The sequence below is a fragment of the Homo sapiens genome, chromosome 5 (assembly GCF_000001405.40).
Source record: "Homo sapiens chromosome 5, GRCh38.p14 Primary Assembly".
NCBI classification, from domain to species: Eukaryota; Metazoa; Chordata; class Mammalia; order Primates; family Hominidae; genus Homo; species Homo sapiens.
In genome coordinates this window covers 56,087,648-56,110,693 of record NC_000005.10, presented here as the reverse complement: position 1 = coordinate 56,110,693, position 23,046 = coordinate 56,087,648, and the positions used below count along the sequence as shown (strand labels likewise).

General features: G+C 42.6%; 1 protein-coding gene across 2 annotated transcripts in view, besides 2 other annotated features; it reads left to right on the top strand.

The window, feature by feature from the left end:
* The window catches only part of ANKRD55 (ankyrin repeat domain 55), a 133,651-nt gene extending 122,637 nt beyond the window's left edge, over nt 1–11,014 (top strand). For both annotated transcript variants that reach the window (NM_024669.3, XM_047417710.1), the window contains 2 exons: nt 8,108–8,200; nt 10,390–11,014. In NM_024669.3, coding sequence (NP_078945.2) covers nt 8,108–8,200; nt 10,390–10,511 — 215 coding nt within the window. In that variant the 3' untranslated portion in view covers nt 10,512–11,014. The remainder of the gene's footprint in view (nt 1–8,107; nt 8,201–10,389) is intronic.
* Nucleotides 20,156–20,656: an enhancer, noted in NCBI's record as "H3K27ac hESC enhancer chr5:55385865-55386365 (GRCh37/hg19 assembly coordinates)". NCBI's record gives its function as "activates a minimal SCP1, AML or CMV promoter by ChIP-STARR-seq in primed H9 embryonic stem cells {active_cell/tissue: H9 hESC(primed)}" and the evidence as "EXISTENCE:reporter gene assay evidence [ECO:0000049][PMID:30033119]".
* Nucleotides 21,301–21,370: an enhancer, noted in NCBI's record as "active region_22563". NCBI's record gives its function as "activates an Ori minimal core promoter by ATAC-STARR-seq in GM12878 lymphoblastoid cells {active_cell/tissue: GM12878}" and the evidence as "EXISTENCE:reporter gene assay evidence [ECO:0000049][PMID:35858748]".

Sequence of the window (23,046 nt, the reverse complement as noted above, 5' to 3'; positions counted from 1 at the left end):
ATGGCCATGCCTTGTGTGGACACATGTAGAAAGGTAACACATTTGCACATTTGTGAGTTAGATCTCAACACATACCAAAGGGTTGTAAAGCAATTCTCCCTCTTGCGTCTTCCCCAGCTATCCAGTGCCCCTCATCCAAAGCTAAATGTCAAAAAAAAAAAAAATGCATTTTTTGTTTATCCTTCCAGAGATATTTTACCCACATATATGTCTCCATTTTTAGATATGAAATATGTACATATCCCACCTTTTAAATAAATGTATCACACTAAAGAATGTATTTATTTATTTATTTGAGACAAGGTCACACTCTGTCACCCAGGCTAGAGTGCAGTGGCACAATCATGGCTCACTGCAGCCTCTGTCTCCTGGGTTCAAGCGATCCCCCTGCCTCAGCATCCTGAGTAGCTGGGACTACAGTTGCGCACTGCTACATCTGGCTATTTTTTTTTTTTTTTTTGTAGAGATGGAGTTTCACTGTGTTTCCCAGGCTGGTGGTGAACTCATGGCCTCAAGCAATCCTCCCTTCTCGGTCTCTCAAAGTGCTGAGATTATAGGCATGAGCCACCACACCAAGCCTAAGAATTTATATAGACAGATAGATAGATGATAGATAGATATAGATAAAGATTTTTTTTTTTTTGAGACGGAGTCTCGCTCTGTCGCCCAGGCTAGAGTGCAGTGGTGCAATCTCAGCTCACTGCAACCTCCACAGTGACACGATCTCTGCTCACTACAACCTCCGCTTCCCGGGTTCAAGCGATTCTCCTGCCTCAGCCTCCCAAGTAGCTGAGACTACAGGCATATGCCACCACACCCAGCTAATTCTTTGTATTTTTAGTAGAGATGGGGTTTCACCATGTTAGCCAGGATGGTCTCGATCTGACCTCGTGATCCACCCGTCCCAGCCTCCCATAGTGCTGGGATTACAGGCGTGAGCCACCGCGCCTGGCATAGAATTTATATTTTTATACAAATGTATATGTATCTATTCCCCACCTTATAAATAAATTTATCGCACTAAAGAATTTATTTTTATTTTTTAAATGATCCATAGGCTGGGTACAGTGACTCACACTTGTAATCTCAGAACTTTGAAGGGTTGAGGCAGGGGGTCAATGTAGCAGGATCCCCATCTCTACAGAAAAAAAAAAAAAGATCCACAGGTGATTCTTTGAACCATTGTTCAAAAGCAGAGGCTGCAAAACAGCTTCCGAAACCTGTTCGGTGCCACAGTACCTTGGCTTGTTTTTAAGTAAATTGTCAATATTTTTAAATTATGAAATTTTATATAAAAATCTAGAATTCTAGCTTCTCTCGAAAAACTAGAAAATCTGGCAACACTAAACCCAAATTCCCAAATGGCAATAATTGGCTGGATCTGAGTAACCACTGTCCACTTAGACACCACTGTCCCCAGTTCAGTTCAGTCCAGTCCACACCACTCCACCGTCTCTCCATGGAGTGTCAGACAGGCTTTATAAACATCTTTCAGTTGTTTTTCTTACAGTAGGATTAAGAGAAAAAATAATTTATTTCTTGAAGCCATTTTTCTCTAAGAGTAGAAAAATGAAAGACCAAGACAGCAATGGGGGTTTTTGTTGGGCGGTGGGGTGTGTGTGTGTGTGTGTGTGTGTGTGTGTGTGTGTGTGTGTTTTGAGACAGAGTCTCACTTGTCACCCAGGCTGGAGTGTAGTGGCATGATCTCGGCTCACTGCAACATCCGCCTCCTGGGTTCAAGCAATTCTCCTGCCTCAGCCTCCCAGGTAGCTGGGATTACAGGCATGTGCCACCACGCCTGACTAATTTTTGGATTTTTAGTGGAGACGGGGTTTCACTATGTTGGCCAGGCTGGTCTCGAACTCCTGACCTCGTGATCCGTCCGCCTCGGCCTCCCAAAATGCTGGGATTACAGGCGTGAGCCACTGTGCCCAGCTGCAATATGTTTTTTTAAAAAGTAGAAAAGGGCCATATATTTTTTCAGAATGAGCAAAATTCCTTTGCGTTTAATATGCAGTTGATTTTGACTCTCTTCACCCTTTGACATGTGCCCAGTGCCTGAAGCCTTTGAAGTAGAATATGGCTCCCTCACTCATATTTGTATACATATTTAGGCACAGGATAAATATGGATAAGCACATTAAGGCTGTTTCCTGATGTCTGAGAAAAACTCCAGTCAAGATTTTGCTTCCTCCACAAAGCACTGAAGCACTTGGCTGGTGGCATGGGTAGTGTTTGCATTTTTTTCTGCAGAAGGATCAGGAAGGGAACACAGTGGTCTGCCACCTTTTGACACTTCAGGGCCTCAACCCATCCTGTTTTCCAGAGTTAGGCCTGTCCCGGCCAAACGAATACCTTCTGTTATGAAAATCATGTGAAAATCTGAAAATCTTGTTCTTTTTCCGTTCCAAAGACAGCCTTGGCCTGTCTCTTTTACATCAGTTAGGATGGGGTTCAGCTTCCTGTAAAAGAAACCCAAAGTCACAGGGGCTTGAACAACATAGAAGTTTATTGCTATCACGGCCAGGTGCAGTGGCTCAGGCTTGTAATCCCAGCACTTTGAGAGGCCAAGGGAGGTGGATTGCTTGAGCTCAGGAGTTCAAGACCAGCCTGGGCAACGTGGTTAAGCTTCGTCTCTACAAAAAATACAAAAAAAATTAGCCAGGAGTAGTGGTACTTGCCTGTGGTCTCAGCTACTTGGGGGGCTGAGACGGGAGGATCACTTGAGCCTGGGAGGCAGAGGTTGCAGTGAGCCAAGATCGCACCACTGCACCCCAGACTTGGTGACAAAGTGAGGCCCTGTCTCAAAAAAAAAAAAAAAGTTTATTGCTATCACATGAAAGAAGTCTGAAGTAGGCAGTTCCCAGACATTTGGTGGCTCCACAATCATAAGCAACATAGGCTCTTTCCATCTATGTGCCCCGTCACCTAATGTATGGCTTCTCTCCTCGAGGGGCTGATGGAGCAGGAGGAAGGAAGTAGAGAGGGGGAAAAATGCGTGTCCCCATGTGAATCAGCTCCCATTAAGAACTCATCTGGCTTAAGTGCCACACTTCCGCTTGCATCTCATTGGCCTCTAAACTTTGGTCATATATTCACAGCTATCAACAAGGAGTCTTTTAGCTGGCCACGTTGCTATCCCTCCAAAATTGGATTTCTGTTTCTAAGTGAGGGAGGAGATATTAGATGGAGAGTTAGTACATTCTGACACATGTGCCACCCAAAAATTTCCATCTTATTTGAAATAAAAAGAAATTCAATAAACGTGGTTTGGGGATTTGCTCACTTACACAATGAAATAACTAGAAAAATCCTGGGACAGCAGAATAGCAGAAAGGGGAAGGTGAATTTCTCCAATGGAATCTGCCTATATCAAATATTTTTTTCAACCAATTTTTCTGAGTGCTGATTATAACTAGGAGCCATTCTAGGCAACTGAGTCATGATAAGATAAATTTCCCAAGTGTTTTCAGCCTATAAATCAGCTTTAAGGGGTATAGATTTACTAAAATGCTTCTGCAACTGACTTTAAATTGACTTTCTTCTCATGTTTAGATACAGTCATAGGGTTTCAAAAATGGAAAGGAGCTTAGTCATTTGATCAAACATTAAATGATTGCTGAGTGTTTATCACAGTTGATTTATCAAAAGAGAGTGAGGGATTTTTTTTTTTTTTTTTTTTTAGAGAGAGATAGGATCTGTCACCCAGGCTGGAGTACTGTGGCTTGATCATAGCTCACTTCAGCCTCAAACTCCTGGGCTTAAGCAATCCTCCCATCTCAACCTCCCATGTAACTGGAACTACAGACACATCTCCTCCTCTGGCTAATTTTTTTGTCATCATTTTTTTGTAGAGACAAGGGTCTCACTTTGTTACCCAGACTAGTCTAGAACCCCTGGCCTCAAGCAATCCTCCCATCTTGGCCTCCCAAAATGCTGGCATTATAGATATGAGCCACTAAGGCTGGGTGTGGTGGCTCATGCCTGTAATCCCAGCACTTTGGGAGGCCAAGGTAGGCGGATCACCTGAGGTCAGGAGTTCGAGACCAGCCTGGCCAACATAGTGAAACCCCATCTCTACTAAAAATACAAAAATACAAAAATTAGCCAGGTGTGGTGGCGGGCGCCTGTAGTCCCAGCTACTGTGGAGGCTGAGGTGGGAGAATCGCTTGAACTCAGGAGGCAGAGGTTGCAGTGAGCCGAGATCGCACCTGCACTCCAGCCTGGGCGACAGAGCAAGACTATGTCTCAAAAAAAAAAAAAAAAAAAAAAAGCTTTCCTAGCCTTACGGATTTTATTTTTGTGATCATTTTTAACAATAATTGTTTTGAGATCACTGAGGCTTCTGCACTACACTGAAGTGGGTGTTGTCGTTGTTGTTAGTCTAGGAGAGTTGAAACTTTATGTGAAAGTTTAATGTGGTAAAGCAGTTGGATAAATCATCCCACTATAGCACTGACTTGAACTTGGATTGTCCCTTTATCTTTGGATTTCCTCCTTTCCTGCCCTGGGTTTGGTAGAAATAATATGAGTTAGTAGTGCTGCTGTTAAAATTCCAGGCAGCCACTATCCAATGCTTACATCAGCAGCCCTGAACATTTAGCTGTAATGATTATTGCTTAACATTTATTGAGACCTGTCAGAGGTTGGATGCAGCAAGATGGGGGATGAAGCACTTATCCTAGAGACTTGGAATTTGGAGCACGTCAGCTTAATTCATTGCAGGCAGCTTTCAGAGAAAATGGAACAGAAAGCTCTGTGGTATTGTCTGCTAGCCTGGTTATTTATAAGCCGTCACAAGAAAAGTAAAAAAGTGTGCATTTCCTTTCTCCTGCAAAAGAGAGCTTCCTTCTCTAGAATTTTCTAGACTATCTCAGCCAACAATGCACTCTTCTGGCTGGTTAGGTCTGATCCTGTGATCCTTCTGTCTAAACCCATCAAACGTTTTGCATCTTTTCAGGACAAAGGCCAGGGTTCTAAACTGGGCAAACAAAGCCCTCACGGCATGGTCAGACCTCACGGCATGGTCATGCTCAGCTTCTGCACCGCCCATCTCAAATCCCCACCCCTACCTCTTCAGAAGTTCCTTGAATATGTCTCAGTTTCTTGACAATTTCATACCTTTCCATTCTATGACATCTTGGCCCTTGTTATTATTTTGGGTTCTCTCCACTGTGTGCTTGACCGATTCCTACAATCTTTTAAGAACCAGCTCAAAACTCACCTTCTATAATATGTGAAGGTCACCCTGATCTCTGTAGGAAATATGGCTCTTTCTTAGGACTGCTAATAAGAACAGCTCCACCTGGCCGGGCACGGTGGCTCACGCCTGTAATCCCAACACTTTGGGAGGCTGAGACGGGTGGATCACCTGAGGTCAGGAGTTCAAGATCAGCCTGGCCAACATGGTGAAACCCCATCTCTACTAAAAATACAAAAATTAGCCTGGTGTGGTGGCGCACGCCTGTAGTTCCAGCTACTCAGGAGGCTGAGGCAGGAGAATTGCTGGAACCCGGGAGGCAGAGGTTGCCGTGAGCCACGATGGCACTACTGCATTCCATCCTGAGAAACAGAGTGAGACACTGTCTCCAAAAAAAAAAAAAAAAAAGAATAGCTCCACCTTGCTGACCTACACACCTACACACTTCACTTTCCACAACATTGCAGGAGAGATTTTATCCTCTTTATAACTGAAGAAATTGAGACAGAGAGGTTAGCTCATCTGCCTAAGGTCACAGAGCTAGCTAGGAAGTGGCAGAGGAGATACTGGAACAAGGTCTATGGGATCCCAGAAAACCTCAACTTCTCTGGACCATTCCTTCCTCTGCAATGCCCTCACAAACTCTATCACAGCACTACTCATGGAGCTTCAAAACCATATGTTTACCTGTCTTTCCTCCCACATCAATTGCAATCCCCTCCTGAACGCCTTGCTTTCTCCTCTTTGTACTCTAGGGTCTGGAATATGATGAGTGCTCAATGGATGATTGCTGAATTATCTATTTATTATTGTTATTATCATTATTATTATTATTAATCCTGCAGTCACCTCGGGTTCCATCATGTAACTGTGAAAACATTTCCTATCCTTTTTTTCTAGGACAGTGGTCCTTGACCCTGTCCCCAAAGCTGAACACTCCCTGGAGTTGCCTGCAGCACCAGACAGCTTTGGGCTATGCACGGCTCCACCCTGTCCCTGAAAACTGAGCAAAATGCCAACATGGAATAAAGTTTAACTCCCCTTCATCTCCGAGTCACTGCTGTAGCCCTTCTTTGCCCACTGCTCCCATCTGCTTAGAGGAGGCAGAATAATAGAAGTTACAGGGTCAGCCCTATAGGGTTGAAGTCTAGGCTGTGTCCCTTCCTAGCGTGTGACTTGAGCACTTTTAGAACTCCTCCAAGTCACAAGGTCCTCATTTGTAAAATGAGGATGATAATAGAATGTATCTCACAAGAAAAAGTGATTGTCAGAGTTAAATAAGATTATGCCTACAGCATTTATCCCTATTCCTGACAAAAGTAAGTGTTCCATAAACATAACTCAAAATTATTATCTCGTTGGTTTTACAAATTTCTGCTCAAGTGTTCATGGATAAATAGTTGTTCGCTAATATAAATTTTCATGTTAATTCTACACAGGAATATTTTCTCTGTAAATAATGGCTCCTGAAGTTATTTGATGTTCAGTGTTCAAAAGGATAAAATATAATGGCAAAATATCCACCAGGGAGACTGGAGATTTAATCTCCATCAACTAACATTGCTGAGGTGGCCGCTTCTGCACAGACCATCCACCATGAGATTCACTTAAACAGATGCAAGTTGTTCTTGGCTAATCCTTTTGTTTTTTCTTTTTTTCTTATGCTATTTTGCTCCAACAGAAGACCCTTAAAGTCTAGGAGCATTGCTATAGCAATTCTGGTTCTTTCTTACTAGACTGATAGGCAAAAGATCAAATAATCTTTTTTTGTTAAGGTCTTTTGAGTACTTTACCCTATAAGCTAAATGCTTTACCCTTGTTCTCCAGTTTAATCCTCATGACAAGTGGAAAAGATATACAATTATTTTCACCATTTTGTATATGAAAAAATTGAGGTGTTGAGAGGTAATATCATTTGCCCAATGTCATATAACTGAAAAGTGGGGAAGCAGGGAATCAAGCCTAATTCTGTTTGACCCCAGAGCCCAACCAAGCTCCTATTCATGACACCATCCAGTCAATTTTAAAATGGATTTAAATCACATTTGTGTGTTCCCTTCTATTTTCAGGTATCGAACATCCGTATCTTAAAGTCAGTAGTACATTGATGAATGTTTAACAGCTAGCTTTCCAGGAGAAAAATCTGTGCTTGCTGATTTTTCACGGTGTAAATACACCCACCATGGCTGATTTCAAGACACTAGTGTGATGTCAAACAGTTCACAAAATTTCTGAAAATGTAACCATCAGCTCTCAAGAGCTGGCTCACATGGTCCATGCACACACCACTGCTTTCTGTCCAAGTTAAAGAATAGGTTTCCTGAGTGCATCTACCCCATTCCGTCTTCCAGGTCAATGATTCTCCATCCTGGCTGCACTTGAATCAGCTGGGAGCTGATAAACAGCTGACACCATGCCCCACCTCCAGAGATTCTGATCTAATAACCTGGGATGTGGCCAGGAAAGCAGTATGTTTTCTAGCTTCTTAGATAATTCCTATGTGCAGCCAGGACTGAGAAACTCTGCTTTAGAAGAAAATACTCTACTCATCACCCACTCATTTCATCAAAGATTTGATGAATATATAAGAGATGCCATATCTATATTATTTCCTTTTTTTTCAACTTTAACTTTTATGGGGTGAGTAACCCAGTGTGTTTCTTTATAAAATTTTATTTAAACTAGTACTCTCAAGAAATGATTTCTAGTACCTTTTTCTATCATTTAAACAGTGACTGGTATATAACAGAAATGCAATAAAGTGTAGCTATCATTGTTTTCATTGTTATTGTTACCACCTTAAATTTAGTGATCTGTAACAACTTTGATGATTCTCTTATCCATTGCATTCTGTAATTTGCACTTGGTTGAGTCTCAAGTAATTGATGCAAATATGTTTATCTTCAGGACAAAATTTTCAGCATCTTTCCCCAAACAGACACAAAATCAGGGATCTTCCTTTCACTCGGAACAACCTAGCTCCCCTACCAGATCAAAAATGTAAGTATTATGAATCTTCCGCAGCTTCCTTTGCAAGTGTTAACATATCTAGACACAACTAAATGTTATTTCCGTTTACTTTCATTTTTCTTTTTTTTTTTTTGAGATGGAGTCTTGCGCTGTCGCCCCGGCTAGAGTGCAATGAACATGATCTCAGCTCACTGCAACCTCCACCTCCCAGGTTCAAGCGATTCCCCTGCCTCAGCCTCCCAAGTAGCTGGGATTACAGGCGCCTGCCACCACGCCTGGCTAATTTTTGTATTTTTTTTAGTAGAGATGGGGTTTTGCCATGTTGGCCAGGCTGGTTTCCAACTCCTGACCTCAAGTGATCCACCCACCTCGGCCTCCCAAAGTGCTAGGATTACAGGCGTGAGCCACCACGCCCAGCCCTACTTTCATTTTTCAAGGGAACATCAGGTGCCAACACTTATAAATTACAGGAAAACAGAGACCATCTTTAAAGCTTTTTTTTAAATGCTTATTTTTTTTAAAAAAATAACACTCCCTCCCTTTAGGAATTTTTGTGTTTGAACTATTGAAACAATAACAAGTTTATTTTTACATGTATTATTTAATGTCTTTAGGAAGGTGCTTTAAAAATTCTCTTTTAAGACTGGCCTCCTGATATCAGTTTCCTTACTATACTGGACAGATAGAAATGTACATCGCCTCTGTACTCACAGTCCATGCATTCCTAAGCAGAAAAAAAAATGCAGTTCATCAGGATTACTTTTGGTATTATTGATTTATTTTATATGAAAAAAATTCTCCTAATATAAAATATTAATATACTCCATTGGGCCAGTGATCTTCAAACTTTAGTGTGCCTAAGTATTACCTGGGGTGTTTGTTGTGAAGTAGATTCCTGGGTCCCCCACCCAGAGATTCTGAGTTTGAATATTCTCATATCTATACTCTGAAGCATAATAATAATAAAGCAAGTTTTATTATTATTCCCATTGTAGAGCCAGGAACAAAACTACAGGACACTGAGTCTACTGCCTCATGAAATAAGCAATACTTACTGGATTCTATTTTCTTTTTTTCTTCCAATTGCACCCCACTGCATTTATCACAGACAAACACACACACACACAGCCCCTCCACATCCTCCTAAGTGCAGGTTAGACGATTTAGGAGCTGTCCTATTTCAGATAAGTTTCTCAACCTTTCTGTACTTTAGTTTCCTCACCGTCCATAACAATAGTGCTATTCTAATAAGATTTATCGGAGTACTAAATGAGATAACATATGTAAAACACTTGGCACACTGTTTGCATAGAGTATATATCCAGTATGTCTTTCTCCCCTAGGCTAGGGTTTGAAGGAGACAAACCAAGAGCTCTAGAACTCTTTAGGTAAAAACAATGAAAAATAGGGTCTTAGTACAACTCTGTCTTTTGGCAGATAAGGAAACTAAGAGGTAGAGGGATATGTCCAAGGTCACACAGAGAGTTAGTAGCAGAAACCAAGACCTCTTCCTTGACAGATCAGTTCCTCTGCCCTTTACAGATGTGTGTAAAGTGAACGTTTTGGATGGTGTCAATTCTATCATTGAATGAAATTCAAGCCCGAACCTGTCTTTAAGCAGAACTGTAGCCACAAAAACATCTAGTTAAGGAAAGAGCCACTCAGTCTTGAATGCTGTTGGAGCTTGGAGAAGCCGAAGAGAGGTTTTCTTTGGCAGGGCCCAAGAGCTTTGCTTTTCACAGTTAAGTTTCAGGAGAGAAGGAAAGATAAAGATCTTTGATCAACTTAGCTCTACAAAAAAGAAATGAAAGGGCCCACAGTGCTTTTCTTAAAAGAAGCCTGAGAGCCTTTTGAGGTTTGCATAAAAGCACAGTACAAATGTCTTGGGCCTTCTTTAGAACCTTGTGAGCAGTTTTTGAACATCAACAGCTACTCCACTCCAAGGAAGAGCTCTGCCAGGCACACACAGCCCAATCATGTTTGATCACACTTGGTACAGTCTTCTATGTGTGCATATTTGAAATCCCAGACTTCATGCAGCAAGCCTGAACAGATATATATACAAGATATACATACACAGCTTCTCTCTGCAGTCTAGCTCTCACCAAGACACACTTCTTAGAAATGCCTCGACTCCTAAAACACAATACAATTCTCCTGCCGCCTTCCTGTTAGAGAAGCAAATCTTGAAAGTCTCTTGTTCTATTCTTTCTTCCCAGTTCTATCTGGAGAACCTCTGCGGACAAACCGAGTGCTTCCTGCAATTCCAAGTCAACGAAGACACAGCACAGCAGCAGAAGAGAGTGAACATTCTGCCAACCCCACCAGTGATGAAAATTAACTGTGGGCCACTCGCTGCAGAAATGTAGATGAATATGTATTTTCAACTCTCAAAGGACAAGATTACTCCAGTTTGTAAGAACGAAGACCAATTTAGTAAGCTGCATTCTATAAGCCATCAGTTTTATAACTCGAAATTCTTTATTCCAAATAAAGATACTCCCTAAATAAGCACTTAGAATATTTGGGTGTGCATATTAAGTCTGTGAATTTCTGTGACTTCCACATGCCAAAATTAAAAGACAAAATATGTTATCAGTAGGAAAACTGAGCTATGTTTGGTTTGCTTTGTGGCATGTGCACTGTTTTTTTGTTATTGTTCTTTGGTTGTTTTTTTGCTGAATGATTTTATGTTTTGGGAAAAAAAGTACGCTTTGCTGAATAAAAGCAAAAAACAAAACAAAAAAAAAACCACATCCCAGACAAACATGTCTTCACATTTATTGTCATTCTAACTTGAACTAATGAAACCTATTTAAAAATAAATTCCTATGATCAGTCACAGTTTACGGCTTTTAAATGTACAATCTTCTGCAAAATATTTTTTAACATTGTCAGTTCCTGGCTACAGCCCAAGTCACTTGACAATGTTTATCTCTCTTCTTTGTTATTTAATTATTTCCATATGTCATCATTTTCAGATATGATTGATTGTGCCAACAGGGAGAAGTCATGTGATTTGGAAAGATCTACATCCTGGCCCAACAGAGTTGAATAGGCAGTTCTCACACATTTCTCAAATACTCTACATATTTAACTATTTTTCTGTTTCAAAATAATGGTCTCTTGCCTACTCAAGACTTTCGCAAACTTAAGACTTAGCAAAGTTTTGAATGACTACAACTAACTGCGGATCTTACTAAGATAATTATGTGTTGTTTGGATTGATTTGTGCTAGGGGTCTGCATAAAGTTCAAGGCTTAGCCACATAAGATGATGGCCACTCTATGTTATTTGGGAGCCTAGATATTATTTTGTGAATATCTCAAGTACCTGTATAACATTCACCACTTTATATTAGTAGTATTTGTTTGGAAAGGTTAGACTATACCATTAACTAGATAGACACTCCTCTGGGGCCAAATCACAATCCTTTGGCTTTGCACTTCTAGAAATTTATACAATGCCTGGCACAAAGTAGGCACTTGATCATTTCATTTTTTTTCAGGAAGGAAGGAAGTAGAGAGGCAAAGAGGGAGTTGGCAAGGAAGGGGGATGTAGAAAGCAATCATAAAAGATGTCATTAGTCCACAATCTCTTTTTTTTCTTTTTTAAGATGGAGTCTCCCTCTGTCGCCCAGGCTGGAGTGCAGTGGCGCAATCTCAGCTCACTGCCACCTCTGCCTGCTGGGTTCAAGGGATTCTCCTGTCTCAGCCTCCCGAGTAGCTGGGATTACAGGCACACGCTACCATGCCCGGCTAATTTTTTTGTATTTTTAATAGAGACAGGTTTTGCCATGTTGGCCAGGCTGGTCTCGAACTCTTGACCTCAGGTGATCCACCCACCTTGGCCTCCCAAAGTGCTGGGATTACAGGCCTGAGCCACCACACCCAGCCTAGTCCACAATCTCTTTTTGACGATGATAGTTGCATGAATCAGAGATTGTAAAGGAGAAAGTGTACGGATCAGCCTTCCAAGCTGGGCAGTAGCTAGAGGGAAAGAAAGTCCTGTTACAAACAGAAGGACTTCAGGACATAGCTTCTGAAGAATTTTCCTTTTGTGTTGTTTTGTTTTGTTTGTGGGCTGTTCTCATCTTTGAAGAGTCATTCTTTAAGCATCAACCTGTTAGGTTGTTTGGCATCAGACTGTTAAGTTGTTCAGCTGTGTCACAGGCTACTTCTGAATCCATGTCCATCCACAAGTAGATTACCTAGCCCTACACTGCCTGCATCAGTCAGGGTAGGCTAGCTTCCACTTTAACAATAAACAACCTCCAAATCTCACTGGCTGACACGGTTTGTTTCTTATTCACAATACATGTCTCATACCAGCCGGCAGAGTTGGCTGATGTAGATTCCATTTCAATATGTTCTTCTTTGGTGACCAAACCAGAGGAAATGAGAGGTGAATCTCATTATTTACTCTCACATTTCATTTGCCAAGTCAAACTGTGTGGACATGCCTAACTTCAAAAGAAGTAAAGAAATGTATTCTGACCGTGCACGGTGGCTCACGGCTGTAATCTCAGCACTTTAGGAGGCCGAGGTGGGCGGATCACGAGGTCAAGAGATCGAGACCATCCTGGCTAACACGGCGAAACCCCGTCTTTACTAAATACACAAAAAATTAGCCGGGCGTAGTGGCGGGCGCCTGTATTCCCAGCTACTCAGGAGGCTGAGGCAGAAGAATGGCGTGAACCCAGGGGGCGGAGCTTGCAGTGAGCCAAGATCGCACCACTGCACTCCAGCCTGGGCGACAGAGTCTCAAAAAAAAAAAAAAAGTTAGCTGGGCGTGGTGGCGCTCGGGAGGCTGAGGCAGGAGAATCGCTTGAACCCGGGAGATTGCGCCACTGCACTCCAGCCTGGTGACAGACCGAGACTCCGTCTCAAAAAGAAAGAAAAGTGAGGTCTCTCTAGTCCCATAATTCACATATATAATCCCCAAACCATCATTTTCCTGTTCCAGAAAATTCATTCAAATTTCATAGTGTGGTATACCCTGGGCAAAGCCTTCTTCCTGAATTTGTTTATTGGGTTTGTACATCTACACAGGCAATTTGTGGAAAGTGCCCACCAACTCAGTACTTTGTGCTAAACCAGTTAGAGTTGTTGGAAGTTAGGGTTGCTGATTTTTTTTCATTTTTCTTAGTTCCCTTTGGTAATCACCTGGTTTAACATAGGTGTTATTTCTTCCAGTAAACACTGAATTCCAATGTTCTCATCTTGCTGGAAGTAAACCAATATAAATAGATTGCTGTGGCTCCAGCTTATTATCCGTTTCAGCTCTACCACAGCACAACTTGGCACTCAGTCTCATTTTAGAAAACCCCACCATGATGAGAAATATGCACATGCTCCTCATGTTATGATGGAATTATGTCCCAACAAACCCATTGTAAGGTGAAAATAGCGTTGTCGATTTTTTTTTTTTTTAATTTTTTGAGACAGGTCTCACTCTGTCACCCAGGCTGGAGTGCAGTGGTGTGATCATGGCTCATTACAGCCTCAACTTCCCAGGCTCAGGTGATTCCCCAAACTCAGCCTCCCAAGTAGCTGGGACTACAAGGTGTACACCACCACATCTAGCTACTTTTTTATATTTTTAGTAGAGATGAAGTTTTGCCATGTTGCCCAGGCTGGTCTCAAACTCCTGGGCTCAAGCAATCCTCCCTCCTCGGCCTCCCAAAGTGCTGGGATTACAGGCATAAGCCACCACGCCCAGCCCAAAAATACATTTAACGCACTTAACCTACCAAACATCATAGCTTATCCTAGCCTACCTTTAATGTGCTCAGAACACTCATAATAGCCTACAGCAGAACAAAATTATCTAACACAAAGCCTACGTTATAACAGTGTTGACTATCTCATGTAATTTATTAAATACTATACTGAAAGTGAAAAACAGAATGATTGTATAGGTGCTTGAAGTAAAGTCAAAAAATCATAAGTTGAATGATCATAAGTCAAGGACCATCTGTAATGCCTTCCAGAAAGACAATCATAAGCATTAATTTTACTTTTGCCTCTACCTTTTTTTTTTTTTTTTTTTTTTGAAATTTACAAATGCATGTCTCTAAGCATGTGCATCCTGGCATTTTAAAGGTAATCTTTTGAAAACAACCTTTTGGAATCCACTCTAGGTTTAAATGGGGTAACTAAGAAGGAACATATTTTACCTTAGCATAAAATATAATGCCCAAATCAAAAACTAAATTAATAAAGAAACATGATGGCACCTCTCACATGTAGTAGTGAGACTCTCTGATGGTCTTCAAGGGAAAAATGATATTTTGAAATCAGAGAATTCTGTTAGAATCACATATTTCCTAGACATTGACAAAGAAATGTAAGTACTAGTGGATGAAGACTGTCAACAAACTGTATGTTCCAATAGAAACTATAGTCTTTCAAAGCAAATGCCTTTGTATTCTGACCCCATTCCAGTCTAACCCTGGTTTTTTTGGACAGCTGAATGAGTTTTTGAAAGCTGAACAGTTTCCATTCAGTATGTCACACCAGCACAATTGTCACTAGAGAGACAAAGGTAGTTTTCACATTGATGTGTGAAAAACAGGAAATAACATGTTGATTATTAAACCCCTAGTAAAATGTTTATTAATGGTGAATGGTAAACCACCTTGCCACTGCTAGTGGTCTACAAACTGGGGAAAATGAGAGCAAAAGAAAGATTCCCAGTTCCCTTCAAAGGATGAGGTACAATCTAACTGGCTGACATGAAAGATAGGGAACTGAAATTTCTGTAGACTGTGAGATTGGAAGGTGGGAGGAGGACGGAGGAGACTGCAAATGACCCCGCATGAGCAGTGAAACCAAGAACTGAACCCAGTTACAAACAGATGACCATGAGCAATGTCTCCAGTGTGCTGAAAGTGAACCTGGGCCAAAGACATAACAGTGAACGAAGGTGAAGGAAGGAAATTATCTCCATTGCTTCTATTCATGTGACATAAAAGTACTTCCAAAAGGCTTTTAAGAGAAGCCAATGACACTTACTGACTACTTAGACACTGATAATAAAAAACGACAGGTTATGAGGAAGCAAAGCCACATTTTAGAGCCCAGAGAATTGTCCTCTGCAATGGGCAAGCCAAGGCCTGGCCTCACCCTCAGAAGGATGAGCTCCATTTCCCTTGACTAACACTTCAGACATTGCTCACAGATCTCCTAGGACAGGGGTCCCCAACCCACAGGCCACAGACCAGTACCAGTCCATCACCTGTTAGGAAGCAGGCTACACAGCAGGAGATGAGCAGTAGGTGAGTGAACGAAGTTTCATCTGTATTTACAGCTGCTCCCCATCACTCGCATTACTGCCTGAGCTCCACCTCCTGTCAGATCAGTGGCAGCATTAGATTCTCACTGGAGCACAAACCCTATTGTGAGCTGTGCATGAGAAGGATCTAGGTTGTGCACTCCTTATGAGAATCTAACGCCCAGTGATCTGCCACTGTTTCCCATCACCCTGAGATGGGACTGTCTAGTCGTAGGAAAACAAGCTCAGGGCTCCCACTGATTCTACATTATGAAGTGTATGTAATAACAATAGAAATAAAGTACATAATAAATGTAATGTGCTTGAATCATCCTGAAACCATCGCCCCCCCACCCCGCACCCCGTCCGTGGAAAAACTGTCTTCCACGAAACCAGTCCCTGGTGCCAGGAAGGTTGGGGACTGCTGTAATACATGTATGCATGATTCAGCTACACCCAGAAATGGATTTCCCCTCAGAGCTCATCATGAGCTTGGACGATCACTGCTTCTCCCTGTTACCTTGTGAGCCTATTAACAGCTCACCACTCAGTTTAGACAGTTTTTCTATTCAAGGTAGGTAGCCTGGTCTTAATGCAGGCAGAACTGACTATGGCTTCATGCCTGCTCTTGTTATCACTCCCTGCACCCTATGAACACTCAGGAAATACATGCGTGCCCCCTTCAACCCCCTTTGTAACTAAGAAATAAACACCAACACCTAGAAATGGGGTCCAAGTCAGGAAGGAAGTAGACATGACAGTGTCTTCCCTTCCACCAGCTCTTCCAGAATTAAGGGGATGGACAAGGGTTCTACAACCAGGCGAAGTACAGATCTTTTGTGCAGAAAATAGACATATATGGGTCTGAATTACTTGGCTATTTATATAATCAATCCCTGTTTGTTGGTAAGGAGTAAGGTTAGTTTAAAACATACGGCCTAAGACCTTAGACATCACTCAGATAGGCAGGAAGGCCTCTTAGGGGTTCAGTCCTAATGTCAAGAGGAAATTATCTCCTTTTCTGGCACCTATTCTCAGGCCTCAGCTTATCTTGTTCTGGACCAGCAATAGCTGATTATAATGCATTCATTCATTCATTCATTTATTCATTCTTTCTTTCAACAAATATTTATTGACTGCTTGCCCTGAAGCTTAGAGCCAAACAGTCTTTTCGTAGTTTGTACAATTTCAGAGTATGAGAAAATCTGGACTTTTTGTTGCTGTTGTTTGGTTGTTTGTTTTGCTCATTTGTTTTTGGAGACAAGGTCTCACTCTGTTGCCCCAGGCTAGAGTGCACTGGAGTGATCATAGCTCACTGCAGCCTCGAACTTCTGGGCTCAAGCAATCCTCCTCCTTGAGCCTCCCAAGTAGATGGGACTACAGGCATGTGCCACCACACCCAGGTAATTTATTTTTATTTTTATTTTTAGTGGAGATGACGTTTCACTATGTTGTCCAAGCTTGTCTTGAATTCCTGAACTCAAGCAATCCTACCACCTTGGCCTCCCAAAGAGCTGGAATTACTGGCATGAGCCACTGCACCCAACTTGGACTGGTTCTTACAAATCAGTAACCTTCTTGGTTAGGCAAAAAAGAAATCTTAATATATCTGGCAAAGCTGCCCCAGTCTCATAAGTGTTGGTATCACTGTCTATTTCTTTATCATAATGATACTTCATGTTAATTTGGCCTCACTTCTTCATCAGTAGGTCTATTCAGGAAAGATCTGACTTGTGAGACTGTAGGAAGTGGGGAAGAGAATGGGGGATGCTGATTCTTCTCAACAAAGCCCAGAACAGCAAGTAGTTTCTCAATTGTGTTTCATCTTCAACATTTAATTTGTTCTTTTTCATTTTCTTCTTTCTTTTTTTTTTTTTTGAGACAAGGTCTCACTCCATTGTCCTGGTTGGAGTGCAACAGTCACGGCTCACTGTAGCCCCTGCTTCCCAGGCTCAGGTGATCCTCCCACCTCAGTCTCCCGAGTAACTAGGACTACAGGCATGCACCACGACACCCCGCTAGCTTTTGTATTTTTTCTAGAGACAGGGTTTTGTCATGTTGTCCAGGCTGATCTCGAACTGAGCTCAAGTGATCCACGTGCCTTGGCCTCCCAAAGTGCTGGGATTACAGGTGTGAGCCACCACGCCCAGCCATTTTCAACATTTAAAAGTTAACTTTACAAACTATTTTAAAATCAGAAATCAGAATGAATACAATATAATGCTTTGTTCTGATTTTTTGTTACTTCAGAATTTAACTAACATAAACATATGAGTAATTGCCTTTTTTCAATTAAACTCGATCTGGAGAATGTGTCTTCTCAACAATTTTCTTTCTCTTTTATTTATATATTTATTTATGTATTTATTTATTTATTTTTGAGACGGAGTCTCTCACTCTGTTGCCCAGGCTGGAGTGTGATGGCATGATCTCGGCTCACTGCAACCTCTGCCTCCCGAGTTCAAATGATTCTCCTGCCTCAGCCCCCCAAGTAACTGGGATTACAGGTATGTGCCACCACACCCAGCTAATTTTGTATTTTTAGTAGAGATGGGGTTTCACCACGTTGGCCAGGCTGGTCTCAAACTCCTGACTTCAGGTAATCTGCCCGCCTCAGCCTCCCAAAGTGCTGGGATTACAGGCGTGAGCCACTGCACCTGACCTCAACAATTTTCAAGAGAAAAATTAATAATCTGGTGAATCAGAATGACCATTGAGATCCTGAAGGCATACATTTTCATGAAATATGCTAGCTCTTCCAACATTGCTAGTGTCCTTTCTTTTCTTTTTTTTTACAGCAAGATTTCATCTAGAACTAATGTACTTTCTTTTGTTTTTCTTTGTTTTCTTTTTAATTTTTTTAGAGACAAGTTGTCACTCTGTCACCCAGGCTGGAGTGCAGTGGCAAAATAGCTCACCACAGCCTCGACATCCTGCGCTCAATTGATCCTCCCACCTCGGCCCCTGGGACTACAGGCACACGCCACCAAGCCCCACTAATTTTTTTTTTTTTAAATAGAGACGGAGTCTTTCTATACTGTCTTATCTAATGCAAAGAAAAATATTTGTTAATGATAACTTTAATCCTTTAATTAAAAATACCATAAAAAGTAGTGGTGGAGAATATCAGAAGAAACTAGTTGAGTAGGCTTTAATGAGTCTATTCCCTTGTCCTCATTTCTCCTTCTGCTAACTCTCCTTTCTTCAAGTAAACACTGATTTTTTTTTTAAGCAAGCCAGTTGTGAACACCTATTATGTGTACAGTTCCAGGGAGCTACAGTTATGAATAACAAAATGCCTACTCTCATAAAGCTCTCTATGAGGATGTGCCAACCAAAATTCTCCAGATTGCACAGATAAAACAATTACAGAAACTTATCTCAGGTTCTGTTTTCTGACTTTGTCCCATCAGTGTGCCAGAGACTCCATAAACCTGATTACTGGGATTGCTGCTGCTAATAGCCCTGATTTTCCTGGGTTTTATTCCCTGTGAAAATTGATACAATGTAAGGGAAAAAATAGAAAATCAGAGGGGAACACTCCACTTCATTTAGAGAGATTCTTTAAATGTGCAATAAAAACAAGGTTTCATTAACAGGAAATTGTCAGGAGGTATTTGATAGAGGAGAGAGAACTGGAGGCCACAGGGTGGGGCATAAGCCAGGAAGACTTTGACAGCCAGAGGTTGTATGATGGAGGAGAGAGAAACAAAATCAGGAATGGAACCAGACACTTAAACTTGCAGCAAAGAAGAGAACAGGAAAGCAAAGAAGCAGATGGAGGACCTTGAACATCAGAAAACAAGGTTTTTAGGCCAGGTGCGGTGGTTCACGCTTGTAATTCCTGCACTTTGAGAGGCTGGGGCGGACAGATCAATTGAGCCCAGGACTTTGAGACCTACCTGGGCAACATGGTGAATCCCTGTCTCTACAAAAATACAAAAAACCTTCTGCGTATGGTGGCGCACACCTGTGGTCCCAGCTACTTAAGAGGCTGAGGTGGGAGGATCACTTGAGACCAGGAGGTAGGGGCTGCAGTGGGTCATGATGGCACCACTGCACTCCAGCCTAAGCAACAGAGTGAGACCCTATCTCAGAAAAAAAAAAAAAAAAAGTTTTCTTTGAAGTCATAAATAAGGGAAAGGAGGAACAATAACAGCTGAGGTTCTGTGCTGCCAGGCTTGGTCTAAAGGCTTCACATTCATTGCAAATAGCTAGTGTTTCTCAAGTGTTTACTATGTGCAGCCACTGCGCTAAGTTCAGGACTTACAGGAGTCATCTTGTTTAACCCTTACAGCAACACTTCGGGTAAGTAACATTATTGTGCCCAGTTTACAAAGGAGTAGGCCACATGATGAGGAAGTGTCTGGGTCAGGATTCCAGACCAAGCAGTCCAGCTCTAGACCCTGGCCTCCTCATCCCTGTATATACTGCTTCCCCCAGAGAGGTGGGCTGCCACCAAGACAGCACTCACCAAAACCACGGGCTCCTCTTCTTCCTGAGCAACACATGGCAGAACTACATCTCCCAGCCCCTTGCAGTGAGGTGAGGCATGGGCTGATTCTTTTTTTGTTTGTTTTTCGTTTTTGTTTTGTTTTGTTTTTTTTGAGACAGAGTCTCACTCTGTTGCCCAGGCTGTTGCAGTGGCGTGATTTGGGCTCACTGCAATCTCCATTTCCCGGGCTTAAGGGATTGTCCCATTTCAGTCTCCCAAGTAGCTGGGAGACACCAATGCCTGGCTAATTTTTGTATTTTTTGTAGAGATGAGGTTTTGCCATGTTGCCCAGGCTGGTCTCCAACTCCTGAGCTCAAAGCAGTCTGGCTTGGGCTGATTCTGAATGTGAGTTGCTGCGATGTGCCTGGCTTCCCTAAAACCTCTGACAGCATAGTTCACAAGCTCTTTCTTGGGAAGTCAGATGCAGAGGACCCAGTAGAAGACTCTGAGGCCCCCAAAGATGGTGGAAGCACTAGGCATAAGCCATCTGAGTCCAGTTGCCAAGCATCCAATTGGACTTTAACATTTTCAAGAAATAACCTGTCTAGTATTAAACCAGTAAGATTTAAAAGATATTACAGGCCAGGTGTGGTGGCTGATGCCTGAAATCCCAGCACTTTGAGAGGTGGAAGTGGGCAGATCACGTAAGGTCAGGAGTTCGAGACCAGCCTGGCTAACATGGTGAAACTCTGTCTCTACTAAAAAAAAATACAAAGATTAGCCAGGTGTAGTGGTGAACACCTGTAATCCCAGCTACTTAGGAGGCTGAGCCAGGAGAATTGTTTGAACCCAGGAGGTGGAGGTTGCAGTGAACCAAGATCACACCACTGCACTTCAGCCTGGGAGACAAGAGTGAGACTCCGTCTCAAAAAATAAAATAAAATAAAAGCTATTACAGTAGTTATTACTTCTGATTAATACAATGGCTGAGGTCAATAATGATTGTATTAAAAGGTGATTTTTATCAGTATGCTTTAGAGCAAGAAGTTAGGACTGGAATTACGATGGGAGATAACTAGAACGCCATGAGAATAAACATGTGGGCATTGTTCAATTGATTCAGTCATTGCATCACCTCACATTCTAAGGGAAGAAAGTTTTTATCACCACCTCTTTTTTTCTAGAAAAGCTCCTTATCATCTGTAAGTGTAAAGGAGAATCTCAGCAAAACAGAGTGGTTATTGGCTTTGTTGTAGAGCTGACACACCTCTTTGGAATTCTTAGAGACAAGCAACCTGGGCTAGTGAGGGAGGAATCTGCACTCTTGGAGGCTGAGGAGGCATGTTAGCCCAGAGCTGGTCTACAGTGTGTCTCTTAGTGGAGTCAACCCGAAACTGTCAGTGGGGATCCCCAGGACTGAAGCAGAGATCTCTGTGTTGCAGCCATCTTCTCCTTCAGTCTCTTAGTTGCAGAGAGGTCAGTGACAGGCTGAACTGTGGGTTCTATCCATGCATATCACCCAGGGGATTTCTCCAGGCCAAGTTCCACACACTCCTCACTGCTCTCAGTGTTTGCCTAAATATCCACTTTCAACTCCAGACAATTGCCTCTTTACTTTGATGTTTGAACCACTGAGTCACTGCTGTTACTGGGAGCTGTGACCACTGGGAACACAGGAGGAGAAAGGGTGTGGAAAGGGGACCTATAAGGATCTTTGGTGCTCTGTCAACCGCAGAATGCTTGCCAGGCTGTACTGGAAGATGTCTCTCTCTTCCCACATCCTGCCGATCATTATAATAATACACATGGAAATGGTTTATGAACAGTAGGGGAAAGGCAATTTGATGCTATTAAATGGAGAACTCAGAAGAAAAGGAGATGATGAATGCGGCGTGGCTATTGCCTTCTCTGTTTTCCTCCCTAAAGGTGCTTGAAAGATCCTTCTGGATTCTCCCCTGCCATGGGGGTGGGAGAAAAACCAAGGTATGCAGAGCCACGGCTCCATGAAAAGACTGGCATCTGAGAAGCCTGCAAGCCTAAATCCCTGGACAGGGTAGGACCTAAATGTTCTCTGAAGGCGAATAGAAATCATCTTGTCTAAAACAAGGGCAATCTTTGAACTCTGTCTTTGGCCTTCTAGGCTTGGCTCTTGGTCAAGCACTGCAGTTATTTAGGCTGGCAGGTACCCCAGTCTAATTTTTTTTAAAAAGCAATCATTCTTGTATGTCCTGCAGAAGCAATGAGCCAACTAGTATCCTTAGTGCCTTCCCTGAGCCAGAGGGTTCTTGATTCTTGACTGTTTTTTTTGTTTTGTTTTTTAAGAGACAGTAACTCTCTCTGTCCCCCAGGCTGGGGTGCCTCACTGCAGCCTCAAACTCCTGGGCTCAAGCGAACCTCCTGCCTCAGTTTCCAGAGTAGCTGGAATTACAGGTGCATGCCACCACACCTGGCTTAGTTGTTTTTTTTTTTTTTTTTTTTTTTGTTTTTTTTTTGAGACGGAGTCTCGCTCTGTCGCCCAGGCTGGAGTGCAGTGGCGGGATCTCGGCTCACTGCAAGCTCCGCCTCCCGGGTTCACGCCATTCTCCTGCCTCAGCCTCCCAAGTAGCTGGGACTACAGGCGCCCGCCACTACGCCCGGCTAATTTTTTGTATTTTTAGTAGAGACGGGGTTTCACCGTTTTAGCCGGGATGGTCTCGATCTCCTGACCTCGTGATCCACCCGCCTCGGCCTCCCAAAGTGCTGGGATTACAGGCGTGAGCCACCGCGCCCGGCCTATTCTCTTATCTTATTCTCTTAACTTCTAGCTCAGGTTTGCTTCAGGCTTGGAGCCCTGCAGTGGAGGACTAGGTATCATTGGCTTCTTCTCTCCCCATCCACCTCCTCTCCAACTCGCAAGCAAATGTTTTAGACCCTCAGGGTCAGACCCAAGGAGCAAGGGGAAGAGGGAGAAGGGTGTAGTCTCGCAAGGCCAGTAGAGTTGCGCTCTGGCCTCAGTGCCCTGCAGGTGCCAGGCACAGCAATGCTGCCTCTTTCTCCAATGGGACTTTTTTTTTTGAGATGGAGTCTCACTCTGTCACCCAGGCTGCAGTGCAGTGGCGCAGTCTTGGCTCACCGCAACCTCTGCCTCCCAGGTTCAAGCGATTCTCCTGCCTGAGCCTCCCTAGTA